The sequence below is a fragment of the Homo sapiens genome, chromosome 2 (assembly GCF_000001405.40).
Source record: "Homo sapiens chromosome 2, GRCh38.p14 Primary Assembly".
NCBI lineage: Eukaryota > Metazoa > Chordata > Mammalia > Primates > Hominidae > Homo > Homo sapiens.
This window is the reverse complement of record NC_000002.12, coordinates 102,781,585-102,808,790: the sequence shown is the minus strand read 5'-3', so window position 1 is coordinate 102,808,790 and position 27,206 is coordinate 102,781,585. Positions and strand designations below refer to the sequence as shown.

At 40.2% G+C, this 27,206-nt stretch overlaps 1 protein-coding gene across 9 annotated transcripts in view; it reads right to left on the bottom strand.

The window, feature by feature from the left end:
- Positions 1-27,206, bottom strand: part of TMEM182 (transmembrane protein 182) — a 106,904-nt gene that overhangs the window by 35,048 nt on the left and 44,650 nt on the right. For 7 of the 9 annotated variants that reach the window (XR_427070.3, XM_017003376.2, NM_001321343.2 and 4 more), the window contains one exon: positions 10,791-10,928. The exons of the other annotated variants lie outside the window; for them this stretch is intronic. Coding sequence is in view for 6 of the 7 variants with exons in the window: in XM_017003376.2 (XP_016858865.1) it covers positions 10,791-10,928 (138 nt within the window). In the remaining variant the exon portion in view is untranslated. The remainder of the gene's footprint in view (positions 1-10,790; positions 10,929-27,206) is intronic. 9 annotated transcript variants of the gene reach the window in all.

Here is a 27,206-nt window from a genome sequence, read left to right as displayed (position 1 = left end):
CATTCATGTTCTCAAGATGTGTTCACACTTCATTCCTTTTTATTGCTGAGCATTATTCCATCGTATGAGTATATCAAAATTTGTTTATCTGTTTATCCACTGATAAACATTTGGGTTGTTCTAACTATTATGAATGAAACTACTGGGAATATACCGTTTTGTGATGTTCTAACTCATACATGAAATTTTGAAATAATGGATAACATTTTCTTAGACAAATGATTTTAGAAAAATATGGTAATGAAATTTTTGTATGGAGCACAATCTTAGGCAAAACTGATAAAATGGCACTGGAACTTATCGATGCTACGGCAGGCACCTGAAGTGCACCTGCTGAAGCTTCCTCCCTTTTCCCCACCCACAAGCAGCCCTGCTAAATCCAACTGAGAACATGGTTCTTAATAAAACACTGCCTTAACTGTCTTCCTCAAACATTAATTCCTCAGCAAAACTTTTAACAATTATTCCATAGCGCTCAATTATTGTAGGAGATTGGAAAGCTGAATGGCTCATTCAGCTTTCATCGTTCAGCCACCTAGAACACAACCCATCCTTATAGCATTATTTCTGGAACTCCTTTGGAAAAAGACTTGCCTCTGCAATATTTAAGGAGCATCTCTAGGCTTTAATTTAGGGGGTCAAAAATTACAACCAAGGAGAAAGAGCTAGACTCTTAAGAAGCTGGCTGTGTGAGAACAGGCAGCTGATTAACCTCTTAGGATGGAATCTCAATGCTCCCTCATGCTACGAATGCTGTCGGGGTCCATTAGGATGATTTGACTTTAGCCCTGCATTCATAAAAGACTCCCAATTAGCCTTTGCATGATATCTACAAATCATGTTGTATATAGGGTCATTCATTTATGTATGAATTGTAAAAGCATAGAGAGTTAATATATTAAATATAAACACTAAAAATGCTACAATATTTGCAAACTTGTTTTCATATGTATTAATTTTAACAACGAGGAACCTTAGAAATCGAAGTGTCTGAGGGCTTTCTCTACTTCAGTGAAGTCCTCTATGTCTTGCTAAAGGACGAAATATGAGGATTAGTGCAGCGTGACCAGCTATCACAGGTGCATTCCAGAGTCCAACATGTACTCTTAACTTTCTCCATATTATATCTGGGAAAAGGGAAATTTGCCACTTCCACATTTGCTAAAGAGTAATATTTGTCATAATATTGTAATGTACTTTCAAAGTAGTCTCATAAATATTATTGCATTCATCAAAATATTTAGACAATCTTTCTGAGAAAAGCTAGAAGTTACTTTAAATGATTTAAAATTGTGTTTTTGAAAAATTAGTTTGCTCTTCTTTACATTAGTATGCTATTGTTTTCCCATAAAATTATGCTTCAGATTACAGAACAACTAATGCATAATCGTCCACATTCTTTATCTCCATTCTTCATTTTCTCAGACTTGTTTTCCATTTTTTCTCCAATTTTCTGACACAGCCTTAATTCTTTCTGCTGTTACAATATCATGATTACACTTTTCTGATTTCCAAACACTCATTGCTGCACACACTTCATCATTCTGCTTTCCAAATACAATAATTCCCTCTTCCCTTTCATTTTCTAGACTCATAGTTTGATTTAGTCAACAACATATATAAAATGCTGATTGGGTTTCTCAAGCATTTATAACTTTCTTAGATTGTCATAACAATTTTTATCATTAAACATCCTACATACCCAGTGCTCTGTACTCTACTGAGTAACAATCATTAACAGAGAATGACCATGGGGGTTTACCTATTTCCACAAGTAATTAGGGGTTTAATCTGAAAATGAGAATTTCATCTAATGCCAAGGAAATATTTATTCACAAGAATTGAGTTTCAGGAAGTAGGATGTGATTGAGGGCACACCCCTGGATTCTGACTGCCCTGGTTCAAATCCTGCCTCAAAGTTTCACACTTTACACTTTATTGAGTAACCCTGAGCAACTTTCGTACTGCTCTGTCTCAGTTTCTTCATTGGTAAAATAGAGAGGATCCAAGTGCCTACCTCAGAAAGTAGTCATGAGGACCGAACAGAGGAAAAGTCCTGAAAACAGTGCCTGGAACATGACAAACAACTAATAAGCATGGGCTAATTTTGTTATTATTATTATTATTATTAAGCTTTGGCACGAGCTCCTGCTAATGGTTAGCAAATGTTACTCTCTGAAATCTTCTAAAGCATCAGAGATTCTCATGTGACTGGGCTATTTCAGGACAGGCCAAGAGGCAAAAGAATAAACTCGCTGTGGTGTCTTCCAGTCCTGAGATTTCAGAGGAGTAAGGGAATGATGACCTCCAATGCATCTCCCAGTGTCTTTCTGGAACTCTCCACGAGGTGGCACCAGTCACCCCACAGTCCCATGACAAAATGTTTTGCCAAGAACAGAAGGTGAATCCAGGCTCAAGCTCGTTCGTATTGAGGACAATTTCTTCTTTGAGTGTCCAGTCAAGCCAACCGCCTTCCCCTGCCCATCAGCCCTTTACTTCTAGGAAGTAAAAATTCTTTTCAGGACAGACCGTTAGCCTAGGTCAAGCACATTAGGCTTCTCTTTCCATACACGAAAATGTAAAGAAAACAAATGGCTCAGAAAAAAAAAATTATAAAACTTAGTGAAAAAACCAATACAATATTTTTTGGCCACTCACTACTAGTTAGTTCTGAGCAAAGTGACTATTTGGGGGATAGGATGGTTTTCAATGAAAGGAAATATTTGCAAAGAAATTAAATCCCTTAGTACTGAGTAAATAGTAGATAGTAATGAGACACATATTTTGAAAAAGGAGAATAAAGCTTATGGAAATTCAGTCTGCCTTTTCACTGTGACAAAACCTAATTCCAGACCAGAGACAGTATGGGTTTTTTTTGTTTTTTTAGAGACAGGATCTCGCTCTGCCAGGCTGGAGTACAGTGGTGCGGTCACAGCTCACTGCAGCTTCCAACTCCTGGACTCAAGCAATCCTCTTGCATCAGCCTCCCGAGTAGCTGGGACTGCAGGCACCACCACCACACTCGGTTCAGAGAAATAATCTTCTCACTTTGCACATCTGAAAACCGTCTTTCAGGATAAAGATTAATGATGCCTCATTATAGTATGTCATATGAGTAAAAACATTTGTTTGCCAGGCCTGTCATTTTACTTCTTAGAAGAACAGCACATTTTTTTTTTTTTGAGGGAACGATAGGAGTGTGGGGAAGCATTTATTCAAGTTTGAAGTTTAAGGTTGTTCAGAAAAGCTCCACCAAAGGTATTCCTGAGATGGTGATTTATCTGGGCAGGTGTTAGACCGTGAACCAGAATGTCTCCAACAAGGTTGGAGGTTGGGTGGACAACAAGGTCCGTCAGGTTGGGTGGACACTTACAGGAAAGCAATGGCTCTCTCCAAAGAAATGGCTCTGTGTCTCCTCTCTTCACATTCTCATTCCTCTCTTCACATTCTCACAGCCTTCACCCAACTAAGATGTTCCAGACTCAAGGAGCAGGCTTTGGGATTTGATTTCCTCATTTTCTCCCATATTAGTGCCCCATTTTAAAATGGATTCTAACAACCAGTTAGACACATTTCCACTGAAGAGCAATGCGGGGAAAATAAGCTTGCAAGGAAGAATCAGAGAAAGAAAAGTAATCACATTTAAAATATTTTTGTAAATAAAAGCCGTCACATCTCTTTTCTATATAATATTAAGCAAGGCTGACTAATGCTGGCATTTGACATTTGTGGAAAATGTCAGACCAAGGACGTTGGAAAATCCACATTAAAATTTGAAGGAAGGTGTTCCCATATTATAACAGGATCAGTGTCTGGATGACAGTGATTTTTTAGACAAATCCCAACTGTGACAATGGAAGGCACAAAGCGAGTCTACAAAGCAGGTACTTTTAGAAATATGAGTGTAACTAGTCTATGCTGTTTAGAAGGCAGATCTAGTGCACCTGGGTCTTTTGATCATCAAAACTGAAGACACTAATTCTAGTACAAGAGATGCATCTGACTGGCATATCAGTAACAAATAGTTTATATTAACTACTTTTTTTTTCCACCACCAACCTCCCACACACCAGAGCTCTTAATATGTTAAGTCTGAACTCAGGTAAAATATTCGGTTTCCTATTGGGAAGCTATGCTTTTGGTTTTCTCCTGCAAGCCTACTTGTCACATACCAGGGAAAGTCAGAGAAGCTTTTAAAAAACCACTGTAGTGGATCCAACCCAAATGCCCATCAACCAACAAGTGGATAAAGAAACTGTGGTACATATATACAATGGAATACTACTCAGCCATTAAAAAGAATGAATTAAAGGCATTCACAGCAACCTGGATGAGGTTGGAGACTATTATTCTAGGTGTAACTCAGGAATGGAAAACCAAACATTGTACGTTTTCACTAATATATGCAAGCTAAGCTATGAGGACGCAAAGGCATAAGAATGATACAATGGACTTTGGGGACTTGGGGGGAAGGGTAGAAGGGGGCAAGGGATAAAAGACTACAAATAGAGTGCAGTGGATACTGCTTGGGTGATGGGTGTGCCAAAATCTCACAAATCACTGCTAAAGAATTTACTCATGTAACCAAACACCACCAGTACCCCAATAACCTATGGAAAAATTGTTTTAAAAAATAAAATAATAAAAAAAGAAACTAAAATGTGAAGGAAAAAAAAGAAAAAAAGAAAAGCCACTGTAGCCACACCTTGGCCAGCCCCTCCCAGGGAGTTCCCTGCGCTTGTCCACAGTGTGCAGCTATTTATAGCCCAGATCTCTCACAGGATAGACATAGAGACAGCAGGGCTGCGTGTGCATGCAGATGTGGATGCCAGGGCTGCGTGTGCCTGCAGGTGTAGACGGCAGAGCTGCATGTGCCTGCAGGTGTGGACGGCAGGGCTGCGTGTGCCTGCAGGTGTGGACGGCAGGGCTGCGTGTGCCTGCAAGTGTAGACAGCCTGCCTCCAGGCTGTCGGCAGTTCTTCCTAAGCCGTCCTGCTCTTGACTTGCCCCACACACTCTCCTGCTCTGACAGCCGCCACATCCTCCTTTACCTGGAGGAAAACATGAGGAGCCTCTGCGAGCAACATGTTCAGCCTCAGCCAAAGGAAAATGAGCACCTGAACTATGTTGCTTGGTTTCTGCGAGCTGTTTTTTCTAGTATTAAGGAGAAAAAAATCCTGAATTACGTATTATGTATCCATCTTATCTCTCTTATCTCAGTTGCAAATAAATGTGGTTTACTGATGGGCTATTGCCATTTCTTTTGATCTTTTGAAAACAAAAAAGGAAACCAAACCACAAATCCCACTTCCTTTTAAGTCAGTCTAACCTGCTAGAGATGGGAACTTCCTATTCCCTTTATATCTACTAACCTTTCCTACACTAGATTAAGTGTTTCCATCCCTACACTTACAGAAAGCACTGCCTCCAGAGCAGGGAAGGACGGGTGAGCTGCAGACGGCTGTGCTTCAGGCATTTTGCCGCACATGGCAGAGGATTCACACAATTCATCCCAATCAGCCCTGCTCATATCCCTGGTGAGAGGCAATAACTTGTGAGCTGTCTGGGGCAAAGAGCTCACCCTGTGCTCGTGGAATGGGGCAGAGCAAGCAGGCACATGCAGGAAACAAGACTCAACTTGGCCTCTGTGGTGTTTCAAGGGACTAAGCTACACTGCAAAGATACCCTTTGCTTCCATGAGCACATCCTGGACCTGGAATAGGGGCTGCTTGAATCCTTCTACTCTCAAGACGTCTAGGTAGTCTCACCAGCCTGTGAGTCTAACAAGGGACTTAGTCCAAGGTTCAGAGCTCTGCAGTCTCCTCCACCCAGAAAGACTCTGTTTCTACTTTCTGCAGCAAAATTCCACATACATCCCAGTTTGCCATTTAAGAAAAGGCTACTTCAATTATGGCAGAAAAATGTTTCTAGCTTGATGTGCTGGTAAGATATCAAATTTTATGGCTGATCTCCCAATGCCAGTGTCCTGAGTGTCCAGGCCACATCCTTACTCATTTCACACACGTAGATGTCCTGCTGACATACAGAAATTGCTGTGTTGATGTTGCTTTGCACAGGGATTATGACTATTCAGCTCTACAGTAATTTTCTTCATATAAGCCAATGTTTAGAATGCCATGCCTACCCATCCTAACACTTCCTGCGTCTTTCCTATCACATCCAATGCCACGGGGCAGGAGGAGATGCGTGACAACCCCTGTGTATCTAAGAGTTCTCTGTGAGTCCACGTTAAAACAAACAGCAGCAGTTTAGGTCCTGCAGAGTTGTGTGATCACTTGCTGAAACACAGGCTGAGGGTCAATGTCCTGACAATGACTACACTTTGCCCAGAACTGACTCTCCTGGAAACAGGTGGCCTGGCCTGCCTGAGGAAGTCTCTGCCCAAGTGTAGGGAGAAGCAATATCCACCTTCCAAGCCTTCTGAGCCTTGCTCTGAGCCTGTTGACCCAGCAAAGGGAACACCATGGGCCCCACCGCTCCTACCCCACAGCCTGATATCAGCATCCCTCTGCCATGCACGGAATGTCTAAACACAGTGCTGCTGATGCCAAAGAGTCTTCCTATGTGCACATACCCAGCAATGGTCATAGAAAATTTAGCTCTGCCCTTCCCTAACACCATCTGCCCAAAAATACAGACAGCGTCCAATTCTGTTTGTGGCATCGATAAAGCAGCCACCGCAAGCCTGAGCCCAGGCTGCACCTGCTCCTAGTTGTGGGCAGAGCTCAATATGCTGGCCCAGGGTTGGCATGGAAGCCTCAAGAGCGAGTGACCAGTCACATTCCATCCCACGCAACAGGGTAGCTCTCCCTGCTCTTGGTAAACAAATGGTCATACACAAACAATGTAGAGTTGTGCTGAGGTGGAAATTAAAGAAAGAAAAATAAAATTAAGTAGAAAAAGAAATAAGCTTCCCTGTATTAGGCTGACTTATCCCAGAGGCAGCAACAGGCATAGCCCAGACCCAGGAAAAGCCTTGTAAACACTATCTAAGAAGCTAGGACACAAAGGAATGTACTCTGGAGAACTCCCTCAGCAAAGGGAGAAGAAAAACAAATTTTCCTTTCCCTTTTTAGTATGAGTTTATAGCTTCCTGTTCTCTGTAACTAGTAACTTCAAGTATTTTGTTTTATCTAAGCGGCACAATGAAGGTCATGAGAAGCCTGAGCAGGCCTGAACTACAGCCATCTGGGCACCATAGCAACGGTTATGAGATAAGCCCGTGCTAGACACTAGAGCAAACCCAGATAACAGCCATCTGGGCTGCACCGCAATGGTCATATGTAATCCTGAGTTACATACCTACCACAATTTGATTAACTGTCTTTGTTCTGCCTCTGTTTCTTTGCTTTCATGCCACTGAAAGCCTGCTTCAAGCTAGCCCACCCCCTTTTTGAAGTGTGTATAAAGTTCAAGAGCTGTCTTTGTTCTGGGCCCAGTCTCAGGATGTTAATCCACTGGGTCTGAGTGCACTCCATAAAATCCTCCTGCTTTACCCTGAGGTCTCTCTGGTCCTCCTGATTCCTGCAACAGTGCCACAAAGGAAATTATAATAAAAGTCAAATGTAAAGTAAGTGTCCTCTGAATCACCTAGTTTCATGGCTTTGAAAATGGGAACACCTTGGACACCTCAGAACTTCTCGGGGCTTTTGCATGAAGTCCTGAGCAAGGAAACACTTGGCCCTTTACCATAAGCAACACAAGGTTCATTTAAAAAAATCTGACATGTATAATTATTGTGTCAATTAAAAATCACAATAAAAACAAAAAGAAAAAATCCACCAGTTACAGGTGTATGGATATATGAGTACATTAAATGCTTTATCCTCCTACACAGTTCTCAGCCAAACATAACTCTTCACGTATATTGCTTTTTGCACAAATTGCAAAATGGAAAAAGACCAACAATTTTTTTTCAAAGCTACTAAACACACACACACACACACACACACACACACACACACACACACACAAACTGTCCAAAACCAGAACGAAAACCAGGATCAAAGCAGTTCTGAGTTTAAAACGATCATGCTGCCCATAATACATTATCACTAAACTATGGTGATTACATGTTCCCTCTATTGAAAAACTGTGGTTACAAAAAAAAAAGCAAGGAAAAAGAAGAAACAAATATTTGTACATGTAAACAGAGCACTGTTATTTCTGGGAAGACCATAGAAAAATGTGTACCCTTACTGGAACTTTGAAAAGGGAAAGGGTAAAGTGTCGTTTGGGTGAGAAAAATTTTTTTGGCCAAGAAGATGCTCAGTTTTAAGGGATATAAGGATATGGGATTTGGTCCTATGGAATTATGAATTCAAGCAGAGGGATGATAATTTATCAGATCTAAGTGAAAAAAGCCAGACACAAAAGTCCACATATAGTGTGATTTCATTCATAGGAAATATTCAGAATAGGCAAACCCATACAGATAGAAAGTAGATTAGAGGTTTCTTAGAGCTGGTCAGGAGAGAAGGAGAGTAGAAAACAAGGTTTCTCTGTGGAGTAATAAAAATATTCTGAAGTCAGATAGTGGTGATTCTTGCACAACTCTGTGAATGTACTAAAACCCTACGCTGAATTATACACATCAAAATGGTAGGTTGTATGTTGATTACATCTCAGTAAAAAAGGCTTTTACAATGAAGAGCTCTAATGGCTAAATCCAGTGAAAGAAAACAGTTCAAATAAAAGACAAAAGAAAGAATGGTTTAACAGGGTTCTTCTCAGAGTGAGATTTTTTTTTTTAGCTCTTTAAACTGTTGGGGCTCAGGAAACAAAACTCCAAAATGAAGCCCCAGCAGCAGCCTCAGGAGCAAAAGTTTTTCTCTGACCTTCTCCTGCCCTCCTGCCTCCCAGTCCTGTTCTCTCCCGAGGCTGGCCTTAGAAACCACAAAGGTCCCCTCTCCACAAAGGTGAATCATAGAAACCAGAACTCCTTTCCCCAAAGCCAGCCACGAAACCTGAACATATTACTCTAACTCTCCCTCCACCTTTCTGTGTAAAAATTGGCCACAAAGGACAAAGGAATTGACCGGACCTACCTTGTTTGCCAATTCCAGAGAGGGTCCCGCCCCACACCCAGAAGGAAGGCGTGCTGCTCAGTGAAGCCATGAAGAAGCTAAACGGACAGGCCTCGCTGGGTTCCCCACTTAGTCTATGACCATTAGATCCTGCCCTTTTTGTCCAATCATATTTCTACACAGCTGCCCATCCTTTGTTGAACCTAAGCATAAAAATGGACAATTTGCCCATATCTTTTTGGGTCTTCAATCTGAAAGCTCCCAGGTATACACATGAAATTATATGTATGCCTTTTCTTCAATTAATCTGCCTTTTCCAAGTGGATTTTTCAGGGAACCTTCTGTTCCTCTTGGCCCCTACAAAATACAGGATCTAGATCTGATTATTATTTTTATTCCCTCTGCAGAATTAAGCACAATCTTATGCAGAAAGTATTGTGTTACCTGAGCACTGATGAAATGACACTGGGCAGCATCACAAGCCATCTTTCCAATGATTAGAAGGACAGTAACCTTCTCCATTCTGTTCCTTTCCTTCAACTGTCACTACAGTGTCACCTAGGAGCACTCTGTCACTCTGGTTTGATGTTACAATACAGCATAGTATGTACAGTTTGGTCTCAGTCATACTGAAGTTTGGCTAGTTTTCTAGAATTATCTTTACAAATAATAGCCTGTGCTTATGTTTCCAAGTTAATAGTCTGGCTTTCACTGCCTAATTAAATGAAAAGGGCTTAAAATTCACAAGACTCACCTCTTCAATTACTTTTCTATTTGTAGTGTGATCATTTTAGCAGAAATTAAATTAGTTAGAAACCTAACTAAAATAAATGCAAGCTTCACACAGAAAATAATATATTCAGATAATTCATATGGATCACAATTAATTAATTATTTTTTTTTTTTAGACAAAGTCTCGCTCTGTCATCCAGGCTGAAGTGCAGTGGCACAATCTCGCTCAATGCAACCTCCGCCTCCCGAGTTCAAGTGATTCTCCTGCCTCAGCCTCCTGAGTAGCTGGGATTACAGGCACATGCCACCACGCCTGGCTAATTTTTTTGTATTTTTAGTAGAAACAGGGTTTCACCATGTTGGCCAGGCTGTTCTCAAACTCCTGACTTCAAGTGATGCACCCACCTTAGCCTCCCAAAGTGCTGGGACTACAGGTGTGAGCCACCACACCTGGCATCAACAAACAATTAAGAAAATGAATGGGAGTGATGTAGAAAAATATTTTTGTACCTATGATAAATCATGAGTGTATGCTTATCATAAATATCATCACAGGGCTATCTTTGAAGAGCTCAGAAAATGCCTACCCATATCATATGCTGATATGTTACAGAGACTTATGTTACGATCCCCATTTACAGACAGAAAATTAATAGGGTAAGAGGTTAACAGTCTCTTACACACCTTGGAGTGAGTCAGTGACAGAGTTTTCTCCTCTAAGCCTCAGTGTTCTCCTCTTTATAATAATGGCCTTACAGTGAGCAGAGACTATCATGATGGTTAAATGTGTCAGCATGTGGAAAAGGGAAAGTCCCTGAAAAGTGTCCGACACACAGTTAGTGTTCAAGAAGTATTGTATACAAATATTATTAGTTAGTGTTCAAGAAGTATTGTATACAAATATTATTGTGTTACTGTTACTAGAAGGCTGACGCCTGAATATAGAAATGAAAAATAGAAAGACATGAAGAAAAACCGTGGCTGAAAGTCATACCCATTGCACCGTACGTACCTGCAGCAATATATGAGCCTCCCCCAGCTTTGTAGAGAAAATGGCTGGCGAAGGGGGCTGCACAGATGATCAAAAAGCTTGCGATGACTACAGCAACTACCCCCAGGAGCATCAGGACTGCCCAGAAACCACGGTAAACTGGAGACCCCAGGAGGAAAAGAGAAAAGAAAGAAAAATACACTTAGATTGTGTACACAGCAGATTGTCACAGTCAGTTGCTTTCATCTTCATTTTTCTAATTTCAGCTATGGCACTGCTAGATAGAATGCCAGGGATGGGTCTGAACAAACAGGAGATCTTATCAGATGACCTTGGAATCAGTGATGTCCAAGCTGGTGACCTTCAATCAACTCCTCTTGCTCAATGTTTGTACCACACACATGCTTAATATACTGTGGGAGCTCTTTTTTCCATCACGATTTTCCATTTTAGAAGCAAGAAGACCTAAGGTTCTTGCTTCTAAAGAGTTCTCCCATTTAAGTACCCAGTTGGGTAGCCTAGAAGTGTTTCATACCGAATGTCCAAACACATGTAAATGCATTCACATTATTTACAAACACTACCTCACATCTTCTTCTAAGATATATTTGTACCATGATTATCTCTGAGAGCTGATAATAGTCACCCCAAGCCCCTAACCACAACAAAAATATCCACTTCTATTTAGATTGTTGGCTCTATAGAAAACAGTCTAAGGCAATAAAAAATGACAAGCAAAACCATAAAAGAAGTTCGTTTAGCTATGCTTTCCAAGCAAATCTGATAATTTAAATCAGATGTATTTAAGGCTTACCTCTTTCTATTAATATTTTCACTTAGATTCAAAATGAGAAGTATAGGAGTCTATAGGAGTCAAGGACAAGCAAGGCTAAATTAATGGAAACAGCTGGTAAGAAATAGTAGGTTTGGTGATATATGGTAATCAAACAAAAAGGAATTCTAACGATCATTTTTGAGTTGGATAATTACCAATCTTAACCAATTTCATCATTTCCAAAAGGATAAAAAGCTAAAATAAATTCTTGATAGTATAGATGGGGGAACGCTCAGTGAAACATATTAGTCAAGTTATATTTTAAGAAAATATACAACTTGATAAGAAGGAAAAGAATATTTTTTTTTCTCAAGAAGCCTTCCTGGCAAAGAAGAAATCTATCAATCAACTGGAGTTTTACAGGAAAGAGGATGGGAGGATGGAAATTTGAGAAGAGGAGTCACTTCAGTTAAATGGAAAAGGAAGGCTCGGATTTTTATGTGAATAACCAAGTCCTGAAAACAGGAATACATGATAGGCTTTCACTTCCCATACCAGTGCTGGCCACTTGGCATGGTTTCCAGGGCTGCTGTGTTAGACAATATTCTGCAGTTGTATTCAGGCTCAGCAGGGAACAGGGCAGTGAAGAGATACTAATGTCAGCTTTGAGTATGGAAATTACGAGTTGCAGAGTGTGGCCAAATATTTGCTGTCCTTGTCCTACCATAGTTTATTAGGCAATTGGTGAGTCTCACATTTTACATTTTCATTTATTTCATTTAGAAATAGGTTGAGGTTATCTTTCACAGGACAGCTTCTGTGCCAAGTGCTAGGGGTATAATCATTAACAACAAGAAGCAGCTCAGAGAATAAGAAATCCATTCTACGACTGTACTGATCACAACTAAAACTAGGTAAGTATGACAAGCAACCATATAAGGACTGAAAGTAAATAATAGCAAGTGGAGTGAGAAGGAAAGTCAAGTCTTAACAGAGATCAAGTTGCAAAGTTATCTGATTTTCTTCTTTTTTCCTCATGGATTTGGCCTGAAGGCAAGCGAATGGGGAACTGTGTAAAAGGTGCGAATAGCAAAAATCTTTAGTTGAATTCATTTCCTAGAAATCTAGGAAAATAGCCCCCTAAAGCCAGAGTAAATCCCCATGTTTATTTTTTCCTCTTTTTATTCCCTTAGTCCTGCCTCCAGATCAGCTTTAAATACAGGTCTGCACTGCTGCCCCAGTGGAGGCGTGGGCACTTAAAATCCCAAATGATGACCCAACCCTCTAGATAGAGGAATCACAAAAAGGAACCCTCATTGTGCAAAGAGGAGGGAGGAATCATGGTTATGTTTTTTCTCCTTTCTCTTGCTGCTTGCTATGTGTCATGGCTGCATGGAACTGTGCCACAGCGCAGGAGGCCAGAACTCAGAATTCAACCTTTCTGGCCAGAGAAACTGGGAAAAAGAGTCCGAGGAGCCAGAGGGTGTAAAGAAAATCCCACAGAGAAAAGAGCTAAAGAAAAGACTCTAAAATTCCACGTTTGAACCTACACAAATACCAAGCACACCCCCAAGTTGCACATGCACAGGAAACAGACCAAGAAGCATAGCAAAGTCTTTAAGAACCAAATTACAGTTTGAAGACCGTCCAGGTTCCAGAGCAAGCCCTGAGTGGTGTGCGCCCCAGGGTGCACAGCACAAACAGCATCACATAGACTTTGAAAAATGAATTAAAATTGAAACTGCCACCACAGAAGAAAGGGACAGATTGGGTTGGTTGATTGCCTGCCGAAAAAATAATAATAATCAAATTTTTTAAAAATCAACATTATCCAGAGAATTTTAACAGTGAATTCTCCACTGAATTTAACACTTTGAATTTTGACAACATAAAATTCAAGGTGTCCAGGATACAACCTGAAATTACTTGATATACCAACAATAATGAAAATCTGATCAATTATCAAAGAGACAGCCAAACCAAAGATGATTTAGATATATGAATTATCAGACAGACTTGAAAGTAGTTATTAGAACCATTTTCTATAGACTGGGGTGAATACTCTTGAAATAAATATAAAGAAATTATAAGGTCTATAAATTACAAAAATAAATTTTAGAATTAGAAAACACAATATCTGAAATTAAACCCATGCAATGGACTCAATAATAAAACAGGGATGAGAGAGGACAGAGTAAGTGAACTTGAAAATAAAGCAATAAAAATTATTCAATATGAGAAACAGAAAGAAAAAAGATTGAAAACAAAATAAATGAAGTTTCAAAGGCTTGTGGAACAATATCAGAAGTTCTCACATTTGTGTCATTGGAGTCCTAAAGCAGAGGCCGTAGATATTGGTGAAGAAAAAATATTCATAAAAGTAATGCCTGAAAACTTTCCAAATGTGATGAAACACAAATTTACAGATACAGGATACTCAGCAAACTCCAAAGCGAATAAACTCCTATAAATTAGTCAAGACACATAATAATAAAATTACCAAAAACTCTAAACAAAAAAAAAGTCTTGAAAGCAGCCAGAGGAAAAAATCATTACATAAAACATATGGGGAAATAATCCCAAGGCTCTAACTTTCTCATCAAGAATGATGGAAGCCAAAAGACAGTGGGAAAACATTTTTAAGCTGCTGAAAGAAAAGACCTTCAACTAAAATTCTGCACGTGGTGAAAATATAGAAAGAAGGGTAGGGTGAAGCCATTTGTGAAGAAGGAAAGAGTAGAATGTGTTATCAACAGACCTGTTCTACAGGAAATGCTAAAGGAAGTTCTTTGGGCTAAAGAGAAATGACACCGGAGTGCACGTTAAACTTCAGAAACAGAGGAAGAGCAGCAGAAATGATTAATATCCATGTAAATAAAGTAGAATCTATTTCTTGTCTTAGTTTCTTTAAATGATATTTGTTAAAATTTAAAAAATCAGCATAATACAGTAGAAAAACATAGGTGTTGGAGTCCGAGTGACCTGAGTATTTACCACTTTCTTGCAAGGTAACTTTGGACCAGTTACTGAAACTCCTAGAAGTCTCTTTTTCTGTAAAATAGAGATGTTTGTGTCCATCCTTTAGAACTATTAGAAGAATGACTTACAATGTATGTGAAGTGTGTGGCATATAATAAGAAACCAATAAAAGGCATTTCTTTTTTTCTTTTTCTCTTTGAGACAGAGTCTTGCTCTGTCATACAGGCTGGAGTGCAGTCATGTAATCACAGCTCACTGCAGCCTCAAGCTCCTGGGTTCAAACAATCCTCCTGCCACCTTCACCCAAAGTGCAGGGATTATAGGCATGAGCCACCATGTGTGGTGGCTTTTATTGCTATTATTATCAAGATTGCATTATCACTGCACAGCAGGGGGTCTTGTGTTCAGCAATAGGAACATGTATTCTTTCCCTTAGCTTGTATGGTCAGCCCTCTCTATCTGGGTTTTGCATCTGTGGATTCAACCAACCATGGATCAAAAATATTTAGGAAAAACACAACAAAAAATGTCAATACAACAATAAAAATCATACAAATTGTAAAACAATACAGTATAGCAACAATTTACCTAGTACTTGCATTGTAGTAAATATTAGAAGTAATTTAGAGATGATTTAAAGTATACAGGAGGATGTGCATAAGTTATATGCAAATACTATGCCATTTTATATCAGGGACTTGAGTGTTCACAGATTTTCATATCCTCAGGGGGATGGGTCCGGGAAACAATTATATGTGGATGCTGAGGGACAACTGGATGGCTGTACACTGTTTCTGATGTGCCACTGAGGTTGGAACATCTCTTTAAATGATAGCTTAGAGTGCAGTAGTCATGTTTGGGCAAAGTAGACTACTGATACAGAAAGTTCTACGAAGTTCTCATACCATCTCTCATGGGAACGTTTTCTGTCCATTTACCTCCTAAAAAGGTAGTGGCCATGTTCCATATCACATGACTCTACTCCTACAAACCTAAAACATCAGTAAATGGGAGCAGATACCTGACACAGAGCCAATGCACGGTGACCTCTGACCCATGCCTTCTGAAGAACAGTTTGAAAGATGAATTGGAATCATCCTTGTGATCCCCTAGGAACTGGAAAACTGAGAAAGTGAGGTGATGAGCAGCAGAGCAGAAGCTCACATGAGGCACTGACAGCCCGAATCAGATGAGCCAGGGAAGCCCAGGCTCAGGGATCCTGAACCAGGTCACACAGACGGCAGAGGAAGCAGCAGGAGCGTCAAGGCAGCGGGCAGTGGAGGGGATGCAAGAAAGGGAGGAGACACACGATGAAGCAGAGGAAGAAACAGACAGCAAGACAGAAGTGTGGAAAAAATGCGCCCCAGAATGCTGTCATTCCTGACCACTGCGAGTCCCTGCCCTTTCATTTGATCTAGCAAAGGAGCCCAGCTTTTGATTCTGAATCCCCTGTACAACCACAGATTGGTATTTAAAGGAAGGGAGGGCCTTGGCTGCCTGGAGAGCTTTGATCACATAGAAATAGCCTCCCAGTCAGATGCCTGAGTGCCGTCACCATGTGCTTTGTTTCCTGCCTATGCTTCTAACATTCAAAAGTGCATAACATCAAGCATATTACAAAATTTGTTGGAACTTCCTATTTTCTAGCTAATTATATTACATAGTTTTCACATGCACCATACTTTGATTGCAGAATTAAAATATGCAGTCATAATAAAGAATTGTCTTGTAGAATTGCATAGAGTTCATGCACTCTCTAAAGTAAAACTGAGCCAATCAGAAAATCTTCAACACATGGTGAATTAAGCACATTCATTTGGGAACTGAAACATGATATGGGAGCTTCTCTGCTTATTAATTGTGTGACTATGATAGACTTTAGTTTTCTAATGCAGAAAGCAGTATTCTTTTCATAGGTTTATAGTGAGGATTAATTGATATAATATATGAAAAGCGGCTGCATGTAGTAAGCACTCAAGTATATTTGCTATGATTCTTATTAATTATGACACCTTGTAATAAAATGGTCTTGTCAACAATGTGGCTGATACTAACAAATATCATCCAATCTGATGGATCTAGGTTGGAGATAGGCTTTAAATTATTTATATATATATATATATGAACATACACATATGCACACACACACATATATTAACACTGAAAACTGAAAGACTGTCCTTAGAGGCTATAAATGTGTGTGTGTGTGTGTGTGTGTGTGTGTGTATACACACATATAAAATTATATATATATTTTTAGGTATATATCAAATTTTATATTCCTATGCAATTTTTGGAGGATATTTTTGTTTGGTTAGTGATTTATATTGTTTCAATCTCTTAGATCTTGACTGTATCTCAGAGAAAACTGAGTTGGTTTTCTTGTTCTTTATATGAGCTTGTAAAACTACACAGCCTTGTCTTTGAAGATTTTGGACTGTGCCTAGTAGAAGCATCTCTAAAAATCCATTTGTCTCATTAGATACAATTCAATGTTTAACTTAAATAATATTGAACTTCTATTAGTGCCTATTAGAACATGAAGCAAGATTTACAATGGAAATACATTTACATGTAATCTATACAATCACAATGTGGATAATTAAAGGAAAGCACATGTGAATCTGTGAAAGGATTAAAGAATTAAAGAATGGTTTTAAAGAGAGTAAGTTCTGTTGATTTTTCAGTCAGTTGGTAAATTGGCCTATGAAGAGCTCCTTGGGCAGGTGCTGAAATGAGGATGGCGGCCAATCAGTCCAACAACAGATGTTGTATAAATAGTTCTGGAGAATTCAGTTTATTTTCCCAAACAGATTAAACTTTTACAGAATTACATTTTCTAGCAACTTATTTCAAAACCTTATTCTAGTAGATCTAGACTGAAAATCATCAGCTAAAAGTGTACTGAAATATGATATCAACATATTCTGTGTAACTATATCATTTCATATTTTTCTAACATTTCCCTTTATACATAATATTTTCTAGTAATTATTTGAGAAGTATTCTGTTGTTTATTTATAAATAAAACAGGCTGGGCACGGTGGCTCATGCCTGTAATCCCAGCACTTTGGGAGGCCGAGGCAGGCAGATCATTTGTGGTCAGGAGTTCAAGACCAGCCTGGCCAACATGGTGAAATTACGTTTCTATAAAAAATACAAAAATTAGCCAGGCATGGTGGCATACGCCTCTAATCCCAGCTACTCGGGAGGCTGAGGCAGGAGAATAGCTTGAACCCGGGAGGTGGAGGTTGCAGTGAGCCGAGATGGTGCCACTACACTCCAGCCTGGGCAACAGAGCAAAACTCCATCTCAAAAAAAAATTCAATAAATAAGTTAACTAATAAAATAAAACAGTCATTGAATCATTAAACATTGTCTAGTTTGTTAAATAGAGGATTTAGGGAATGTAAATCCATGTTCCTGATGTCTCAATTTTATCCATAAAAATATATAATAGAAAGAGTATTAACTATATCACAAATTCAAATTTCAGATTCAAGCATAGGTCAAAGGAGCTCATGTCTTGGGTATATCTGAATGGTCAAATTCAAAGTGATGTGAGTAGGCAGTACAGGGAAATGTCTGTTAAAAATCCTTCAGGAAGGAAAAATAAAAATAACCAAAAACTACAGGACAATGAAGGCCGTGAAGTAAAGTTGACTATTAATTATGCACACTAACATGTGTGTGTGTCTGTATGAGTGTGCTTCTGCATATCTATGTGCCTTTTTGTGCATGTGTGAAGATTATCACAGGCAAGAAGCTAGTGGCAGAATGGGAATCTGTTCTGAATTCAATGGAAAAAGTTAGGAAAGTAAAGCCCCATAGTATTTCTTTTTCCAGAGAAATAGAGTAAAAAATGCACTAAAACCTCATTAATTTAGATGATAGGCAAAAGCAGCCTGACGTTTTAACTGTAGCTGATTTTAGAATAAGTTCCATTCCAAGCCATTCAAATCCATCCAACAACTCAAACTGGTGTCTCATCAGGGGCCTCTAAGAGGGGCCTTGCCAGGCTTGCTTAACAAATGGGCACAGTGCTGACAACCAGAAGCCACTTAATTTAGCAAACATATGCTGAGGGCTTTCTACGTGCAAGGCACCAAAAACTGCCAGAGTAAGACATAATCCTTGCCCTCGCAAGTTCTTTTCCCCAGAAGAAAAAGCATATTTGCTTTTTTTAACGCTGGGTGCTAAACATACCTAGTAGAGGTATGCTTGAATATTATGGTGTCGAATGGCAGGAAAGACCATGATTTCAGGGCTGAGTAGCAGTGAGAAAGGGCATATGGTGCTGGGTCTCAGCGTTTGTCTACAATTCATGGGGCAGAAGGCAGGAGCAAGGCCATGCCAATCAGAGAGGGAAAGAGTTCCATGGAATGTGGGGTAAGAAGCTGCTCCCTGCGGCTGCCACCGGGTGGATGAGGGGAAGAGAAAATGGGGAACCTGGAAAAGTGGTTGAGGCTTTGTTTTCCCTTCCAAGGAGCTGGTCCTCTATCACATGGGTGTCAGGGGGTACTCAAGACCATTAATCAGAGACACCAATCCAACTGGTATCAGAGTATCCCTGTTGTAAGTATACAGAGAATGAACTGCTAGGAAAAAGAATAGAACAAGGAAAAGCTAATTAAGGTAGCTATTGTAGCAAGCCCAAGTGGGAGCTCTTAAAAGACTGACCCAGAGCTAAGCAGCTGGGATGGAGATGACATAAGCTTTGGTGTTACTGTTGTTACAGGTGGTGAGAAACCAGGAAGAATCAAGAGCGTCTCTACGGGTTTTCATTTGCAAGCAAAACCAGTTTGTTCTGTTAAGATATTTAAACATTTCCTCTTGATTTTGCATAATATAATTTGCAGAACAAACCTTCTTTCATAGAGGGTATAGAGAGAAAAGTCAACCCAAATGATCACAATTCCAAATTTGTAGTGTTTTGATAAGTGATTTTGTTGTACATACAAAAATGTAAATATTTTATTTGCAGCTTAAAGATAAACTTAAGTGTTATTCATTTTTCAAAACTTGCTATATTGCCTCAGACACCCACAAAGCTAGTTCATAAAGCTAATCCTGTGTTTCGACACATCCTCAAGCACACGCAGTGTGAAGTGCTATAAAATGTTCCAAATGAAGCCAAAACAAAACACGCCACTACCCCCCACCTCCCTCGCAGCAAATGAGGGCCGCCAGCATATGTTGCCTCGCTTTAGGCAATGTGCTTCTGTTGTGCAGGCCAGCAAGCCTGGCCTTCATCTCCATACACTGCTTGTCTTGGCAGTGTCGGGCAGGTCTAAAAATACAGTAGTGCCTGCACCAAAGCAGAAGGACAGGCTGTACAGTATCTCTGCATCTGAACCCCACAATCGTGAACATGCCAAGCAAAGTCCAGTGCTCAGCGTGGCCCATTGATTTGTTTTCTGGACGCTAAGAACTCTGAGATCAGATGAAGTTTATTAACCTCCCACCCTTAAACTTGCCCGATTCAGGAGATGCTTCAGGGAGGAAGCACACTGGGCAGAAGGGGGAGGGATTCCACCTTCCACTCTGGCAGTGACCTTGAGTCCTTGAAGCAGGAGAAGCATGAGTTTCTTCACACAGGGTTGAGAACATGCCCATGTTCATTATCTCACTTGCTCCTTCTAAGGAGCCTGGGGGTTAGGAGGGAGGCTTCCTGGGTACCAGGAAGGGTGGCTTTGCAGTATTAGTGGTCCTATGGGTGGTGGCTGCAGTAACAGGAGTAATAATAGTCCAATGCAACTTTGAAACAGCTGTCACCAGAATCCTCAAGGTCACAGAGCTGAGGGGACTGAGGTCCTGTGTACAAAGCCACTCAGTGTCCACCCCAGGGGACCAGGTGAGCACACAGGGCCAAATCTCCAGCTCCAAGGTCCTCCCCTGCCCGCGTCTCCCTCAGTAGGGAAGGGAGGCAAGTCAGTTGTCCCCATTGCTGCCACACATCAGAACCACTTGGAGAGCCAAAACATAACACCCATGCTAGGATTCCAAACCAGACCAGCTGAATGAGGACCCCTAAGGGTGGGCACAGGCATCAGTGTTTTCAAAAGCCCAGTAAAGCTGGGTGCAGTGGCACACTGTGTAATCCCTGTTACACAGGAGGATCACTTGAGCCCAGGAGTTCAAATCCAGCCTGGGCAACATAGCAAGACATTCTCCACCGCCACCCTTGTCTCTCAAAAATAAACAAATATTTTTAATAATAAATTTTAAAAAATAAAGCCCACTGGGACACTGTGATATGCAGCCAGATTAAGAAAGGTAAGACTCCTGGTCCCTCTGAGTGGCTAGTTTTAAAAAGCAGGTTCTGCAAGTCAGGCAATGGCTTAGCCCTCACATGTGTTCTTTCCTCTGTCTTCCCAGCAATCTCTATGTTGTATTTTACAGATGAGGCTCAGAGAGGTTAAGTCATATTCCAGAAATTAAAGAGCCAGTAAAGGATAGGTTCAAGATTTTAATTCAGGGCTATCTGGAGAATCCACTATCACTAGTCATGTTTGTTGTGTTTCTAAAAGTTGCTTGGCACTGATCCCTCTGCATCTTCTAGGATCAAATCTTCCCATTCTGGCTCCTCCTGCTATGTCCGCCAGAAATTTTGAAAAAATGCTGAAGTCCTCTGAAGGAAAAGTTATTACCATCCTTCAAGGCCCTTCTTTGCAATCCTGTTTCCTCTAACTAGAATAAATAGACTTCCTACTTACCATGGACTGAATGTGCTCACTCACTCAAATTCATATGTTGAACCCCTAACCCCCAAAGTGTGAGAGAATCTGAAGATGGAGACTTGAGGAAGTAAATAAATTTAGATGAGGTTATGAGAGTAGGGTCCTCATGATGGGATTAGTGACTTTATGAGAAGAGGAGGAGAGAGTTCATTCTCTTTCTGCCAGCAAGAGTACAAAATACAAAGCCATCTGCAACCCTGAAGAGAGCCCTGCTCAAACCCAGCCATGCTGGCACCCTGATCTTGGACTTCACACCTTCAGAGTGATGAGAAATAAATGTCTTGTTTAAGCCGCCAGGCTGTGGTATTTTGTTACAGCAGTCCAAGTTGATGAAAGCACGTCTTCTCCTTCATCTGAGAAAGCATCCTTCCTTCCTTAAAGGGACATCACGGAGAGAGTTACTTCCTTACCTCCACTAAAGGCAGGAACGTGTAGAATCATTCAGAATAGAGGTATATTCAAGAGTTGGAATACCCTTTACCGGGTGTGCGACCTTGGCCAAATTACTTGGCTTCTCCATGCCTCAGTTTCCTTCCCTAAAATGTGATGATTAATACTTATTTTATAATTAGGATGATTGGGATGAAGGTCAGCGCTAACTGAATGCCAGTCACTAGACTGAGCACTGTACTTCCATTCCCTGTGCAATCCCCCTCCACTTCCTGATTGTGAGTGTCCGGGACTCAGTCTTGCTCATCTCTCTAAACCCAGTGGAAGCTTTATGGTTGGCATGTAATAGGTGCTCAATAAAATATGAGTAAGTAGAGAATCAACAATTTACCACTCAATACCCCCTGTAATCCCAAGGTTAATGAGATATTCAATGGCCAGGGAACAGAGTGAAGCAAACTCATTCAAAATGGAAATGAATCCAGGATCTTGACCTCACTGTCACAATCACTGGAGAATCTTTATCATGTAAATCCCTATGAAAGAGAAGCAGGCCTTGGAAAAAGAAGAGCTAAGGTATCAAGGTTTCGAATGTTAACACCTGAGTACTAAGTAAGTGAGCTCAGGCTGGACGCGGTGGCTCACACCTGTAATACCAACACTTTGGGAGGCCAAGGCAGGTGGATCACGAGGTCAGGAGTTCAAGACCAGCCTGACCAAGATGGTGAAACCTCGTCTCTTCTAAAAACACAAAAATTAGCCAGGTGCGGTGGCAGGCGCCTGTAATCCCAGGTACTCAGGAGGCTGAGGCAGGAGAATCACTTGAACCCAGGTGGCAGAGGTTACAGTGAGCTGAGATCACACCACTGCATTCCCGCCTGGGCGACAGAGTAAGACTCTGTCACAAAAAAAAAAAAAAAAAAAAAACAGATTGCTGAGTGCTATGTAATCTTCCTCTCCATGTGCCGGAATTCCAGTGCTTCAAATGAATCAAGAACACCAGGGACTTCTGTAAATCCTCCTGCCCAATTCTAAAACTGCCAGAAAAGACAAATTTCCTCATTCACTGATTTCCTTAAAAAAAAAAAAAAAAAAATCAATCTACACCTGAAAAGACCTGTGATCTTTTAGACTAAGCCATGATAGGAACATTTTAAGACTACTTTATTCTTATACTTTTTTAAACACTAAATTGGAATCTGCTTGCTTTGGCTTTTGTACAGACAGTAGAAAATAATTATAGCAAAGGCTTATTTACTTAGTTGTAAGTATTCTAGGACCCCTGAGTCTTCATTTTCATAATTTTTAGGTGATTTGCCTCATAAACATCTAACATCCAAGAAATCACATTTCCCCAGGGAAACTTATAGTCTTTTATGATATTGTTATTACACATCTTGGAATCTTTCTCTTAGGTATGTGAATTAAAAGTAGTTTCTACGATTTCTGTATCAGAAAAGTGAGTTCAGAAATTTCATAGTACTAAAATGATTTGATATTTTCCCCTCTATTTGTATTATAAGACACCCAGAAAAAGGAGTGGTTAACAACTAAATTGAGTTCCACACTCTCATTTACATGTTTGAGCACCGATTGAAAATCTACCTTGTATCAGCTACTGTGCTAGGCTAGGAGAGCACTTATTGGTGATACACTATGAAAAAGTACAATATGTGCCACCAAGCAGTCTAAAAGGAAAGAAATATACAATTAGATGGCTATCGTCTATGCCAAGTGCAAGGAAAGACTATGGATGGTTTATTATGCCAGAATAGAGAAAGGGTGCAATCTTAGCATATTGCATAAAAGCTCTTTGGGGGAGGTGATTCTTAAAGGGGAGAGTGGGACTGGCCTGAAAATGGAAACAGCAGAGCAGGCAGTAAGAAGAAAGGGGACTGAGGAGGAGTGGGGAGTGGTGCTTGGAGGAGCTCAGCTTGCAGGTGCAGAACAGTGAAAAGCTTTGGCTTCAGGGAAGTAGCTGGAGGGAGAATGTAAGGAACACGTCATACTGGTCCTTTTATGATGTGCTCATTTTTCAGTGGAACATTTTGGCCCAAGTTGCATGAACTTTTCATACAAATGATATTGTCGGAGGTGTTGGAACCAGAGCAACTCCATCTCGAGCTGGGTAAGATGAGGCTGAAACCTACTGGGCTGCATTCCTAGATGATTAAGGCATTCTAAGTCACAGGACAAGATAGAAGGTCAGAACAAAATACAAGTCATAAAGACCTTGCTGATAAAACAGGTTGCAGTAAAGAAGCTGGCAAAAACCCACCAAAACCAAGATGGCGATGAGAGTGACCTCTGGTTGTCCTCGCTGCTACACTCCCACCAGCACCATGACAGTTTAAAATGCCATGGCAACGTCAGCAAGTTACCCTATATGGTCTAAAAAGGGGAGGCATGAATAATCCACCCTTTGTTTAGCATATAAACAAGAAATAACCATAAAAATGGACAACCAGCAGCCCTAAGGGCTGCTCTGTCTATGGAGTAGCCATTCTTTTATTCCTCAACTTTCTTAATAAGCTTGCTTTCACTTTACTCTACAGACTCACCCTGAAGTCTTTCTTCGCGAGACCCAAAAACCCCCCTCTTGGGGTCTGGATCTGGACACCTTTTCTATAACAATATTACAAAAATCACTGACTAACTTAACATTGGCTGTTTGTCCACATGGAGCTTCAGTCCATCAATATCAACACCACTGACAAAATGCTTGCAGTCTGGTTTCGCATGGGAGTGTTTTCAGTAAGAAAAATAGACCAAAAAAAAAAAGGTAGAAAAACACATACTTTCTTTTCTTTCTTACAGAGCCTTATATTTTCCTGATGCTTTTTTCTTAAGTGGTAAAATACTGTGAGACAAAGGCATGGAAAACTCTGACAATACTTTCTGTAAACTAGTCTACCCAGTGGGGAAATTGACATGATCAAGGGACCTTATAGATAAATTTGAATAAAAAGGGAGAGGTACAAAAAGTTTCTAGGAAGAAAATAAAGATACAGAGATAAGAGTAGCTATCAGCTGATGGGCTGAGAGGGTTGTACCTGCAAATAGTGGCCCGTGTCTGCCAGCAGATGCCTTGGAAAAATACTTGGCCGGTTCAGAATCAGGTCCGGCGTAGTTTGGAATGTGAACCACATACGAACAGCCAGGGTAAGATGAGTGTCTCGTTGGGACAGACAAGATAGCTGAGACATAGCTAGCATCTCTGGCAGGGCAAGCATACCTCATTATCCTGGAACAAATGTGTGCAGTTTATTTATTCACAGGCTGAGAGTCACATTTTCTTTACTTATCAAGAAACATGATCATTGCTGTTTTTTTGTTTGTTTTTTTAGACACAGCTTCTCACTATGTTGCTTAGGCTAGAGTGCAGGGCTGTTCACAGGCATGATCATAGCTCACTACAGCCTCAAACTCCTGTGCTCAAGAGATCCTCCCACTTCAGTCTCCTGAGTTGCTGGAACTAAAAGAGCACACCATTGCACCCAACAGATCGTTGGTGTTTAATGTCAGCATTCACTGAGTGCAGTACCTCCCTGGGCATCTTTTACAGACTTGGCTCTTCTAGGGATGGAGCTAAAGGAATGTGGTGGAAATGTCTGCTGGTAGCCTTGAGTTGTCCTCACTGACCTGACAACTATTTGCTGTGTCTTCTTTAGAAGGAAGTCACTTAACCAACCCCCTTAGTTTTTTGTTTGTTTCTCCATAAAAAGAGAATCAACAGCATCAGAAGTCACTTCTGACTCTTCTGCTTAGAGTCCCAGCATGTAGATTGTCAATATTTCTTTTTGATAATGAACTGCATACATTGAACTTTCCAGTTTCTATTTGAAAAAACCAGCCATCTAAAATTGCCCATTTTACGCAGGAAATCATTGCAAAAATCAAACATAGTGTTCCCATAGCTACTCTGTATATGGTTTAGGAGGGGGTTTCATTTTCCTTATTTATTTGCAGTGATAGGATATATCTTTGGAAGACTTCCTCTCTAGCTACTCAACATAGCAAGCTGTTACAGCAAATTCCCTCCATAGTGCATAACAACAGCTGTTGCTCTGGAAACAAGTTAACACTTTGCTTTCCATAAGACATTTCACTTTCCTTAACAATATTAAATCTATGGTTTATTGGTGTAAATAACAGCCTTGGCCTTGGCTATGTACAGACTTGAAGCAATGAACTTGGGTACTAGAAAAAGCAGCTGATAAAAATCAATTATATTTAAAAATATTAACACTTAAAAGTCACTGTAATTTTATCCCCATGTCCCCAAACTTGTTTCTAAATAGAAAGAAAAAAAATATATTGATGCTCTATACAAAACTAAAATGTAAAATAATAAAGCTTACCAAATCTTCCCTAATTAACAAATAGATCTTGTTTTAAAGTGACTATTGCTCATGAGGAACACGAATCATAAATATTTTTTAAATGTTCTAAAGTTGACTATGAAAAAAGTTATGGAAATGGAGGCAGCTCGCCGATCTTTGGGTGAGAGACCTAACTTCTTTGTTTCCTTGGCTTCAGATGAAATCCTTGGCTTTCAAGTAGTCCTGATGTACTACTATGAGGTAGTGTATTAAGATTCAAGGGGGCAATATATAAAAAGTAAAGTATGATTGCATAAAATATGAGCCCCATATATGTTTTCATCATTCCATTTAATTTGAAATAAAAATGAAATAAAGTCATTTATTGTGGTATTAATAATTTTTATAAAATAGCAAATAAAAATTATTTTTCTATTTTTATTATTAAATTATCAATATGTTAGTAGGGTTTTCTTTTATTTTTTATTTTTTATGGAGTTTTACTCTTGTCACCCAGGCTGGAGTGCAATGGCACTATCTCGGCTCACTGTAACCTCCGCCTCCCAGGTTCAAGTGATTCTCCTGCCTCTCAAGTGATTCTCCTGCCTCAGCCTACCATATGGCTGGGATTACATGCACCGGCCACCACACCTGACTAATTTTTGTATTTTTAGTAGAGATGGGGTTTCGCCACGTTGGCCACGCTGGTCTCAAACTCCCGACATCAGGTGATTCACCTGCCTCGGCCTCCCAAAGTGTTGGGATTACAGGAGTGAGCCACCACGCCCGGCCAATATATTAGTAGGTTTCAATAAGTAGACAGAAGAAACAAGAAACAAATAAATAGGTCTGATGAAATTACTATGGTGCCTTTGAGCAGTTTATGTCTCTAATTGTTGATAATTTCACTGGATCAAATTCCTCATCCCAGCACTGGAGTCCAAGCAGTACTAAAGCTTACCTTTTATGAATGATATAAAATGTGATGGTGAGCTTGATAAGTAAAAATCCCATGAGGCAAAACCTTACGTCAAATGTTTTTCTACATTGCTCTGGACAACCTACTAAATCCAAGGATTAGATTTCGGTTGCGCCTTCCTCTACTTCTCAGCAGTATTTGGTCCATCTCATCATTCCCTGCCCTGAAAAAAACATTCATCATGATTCCTGCCTCCCAAGCTGCCCATCCTTAGTCTCCTTTGCTGGCCCCTACTCTTATCCCTGACCTTGT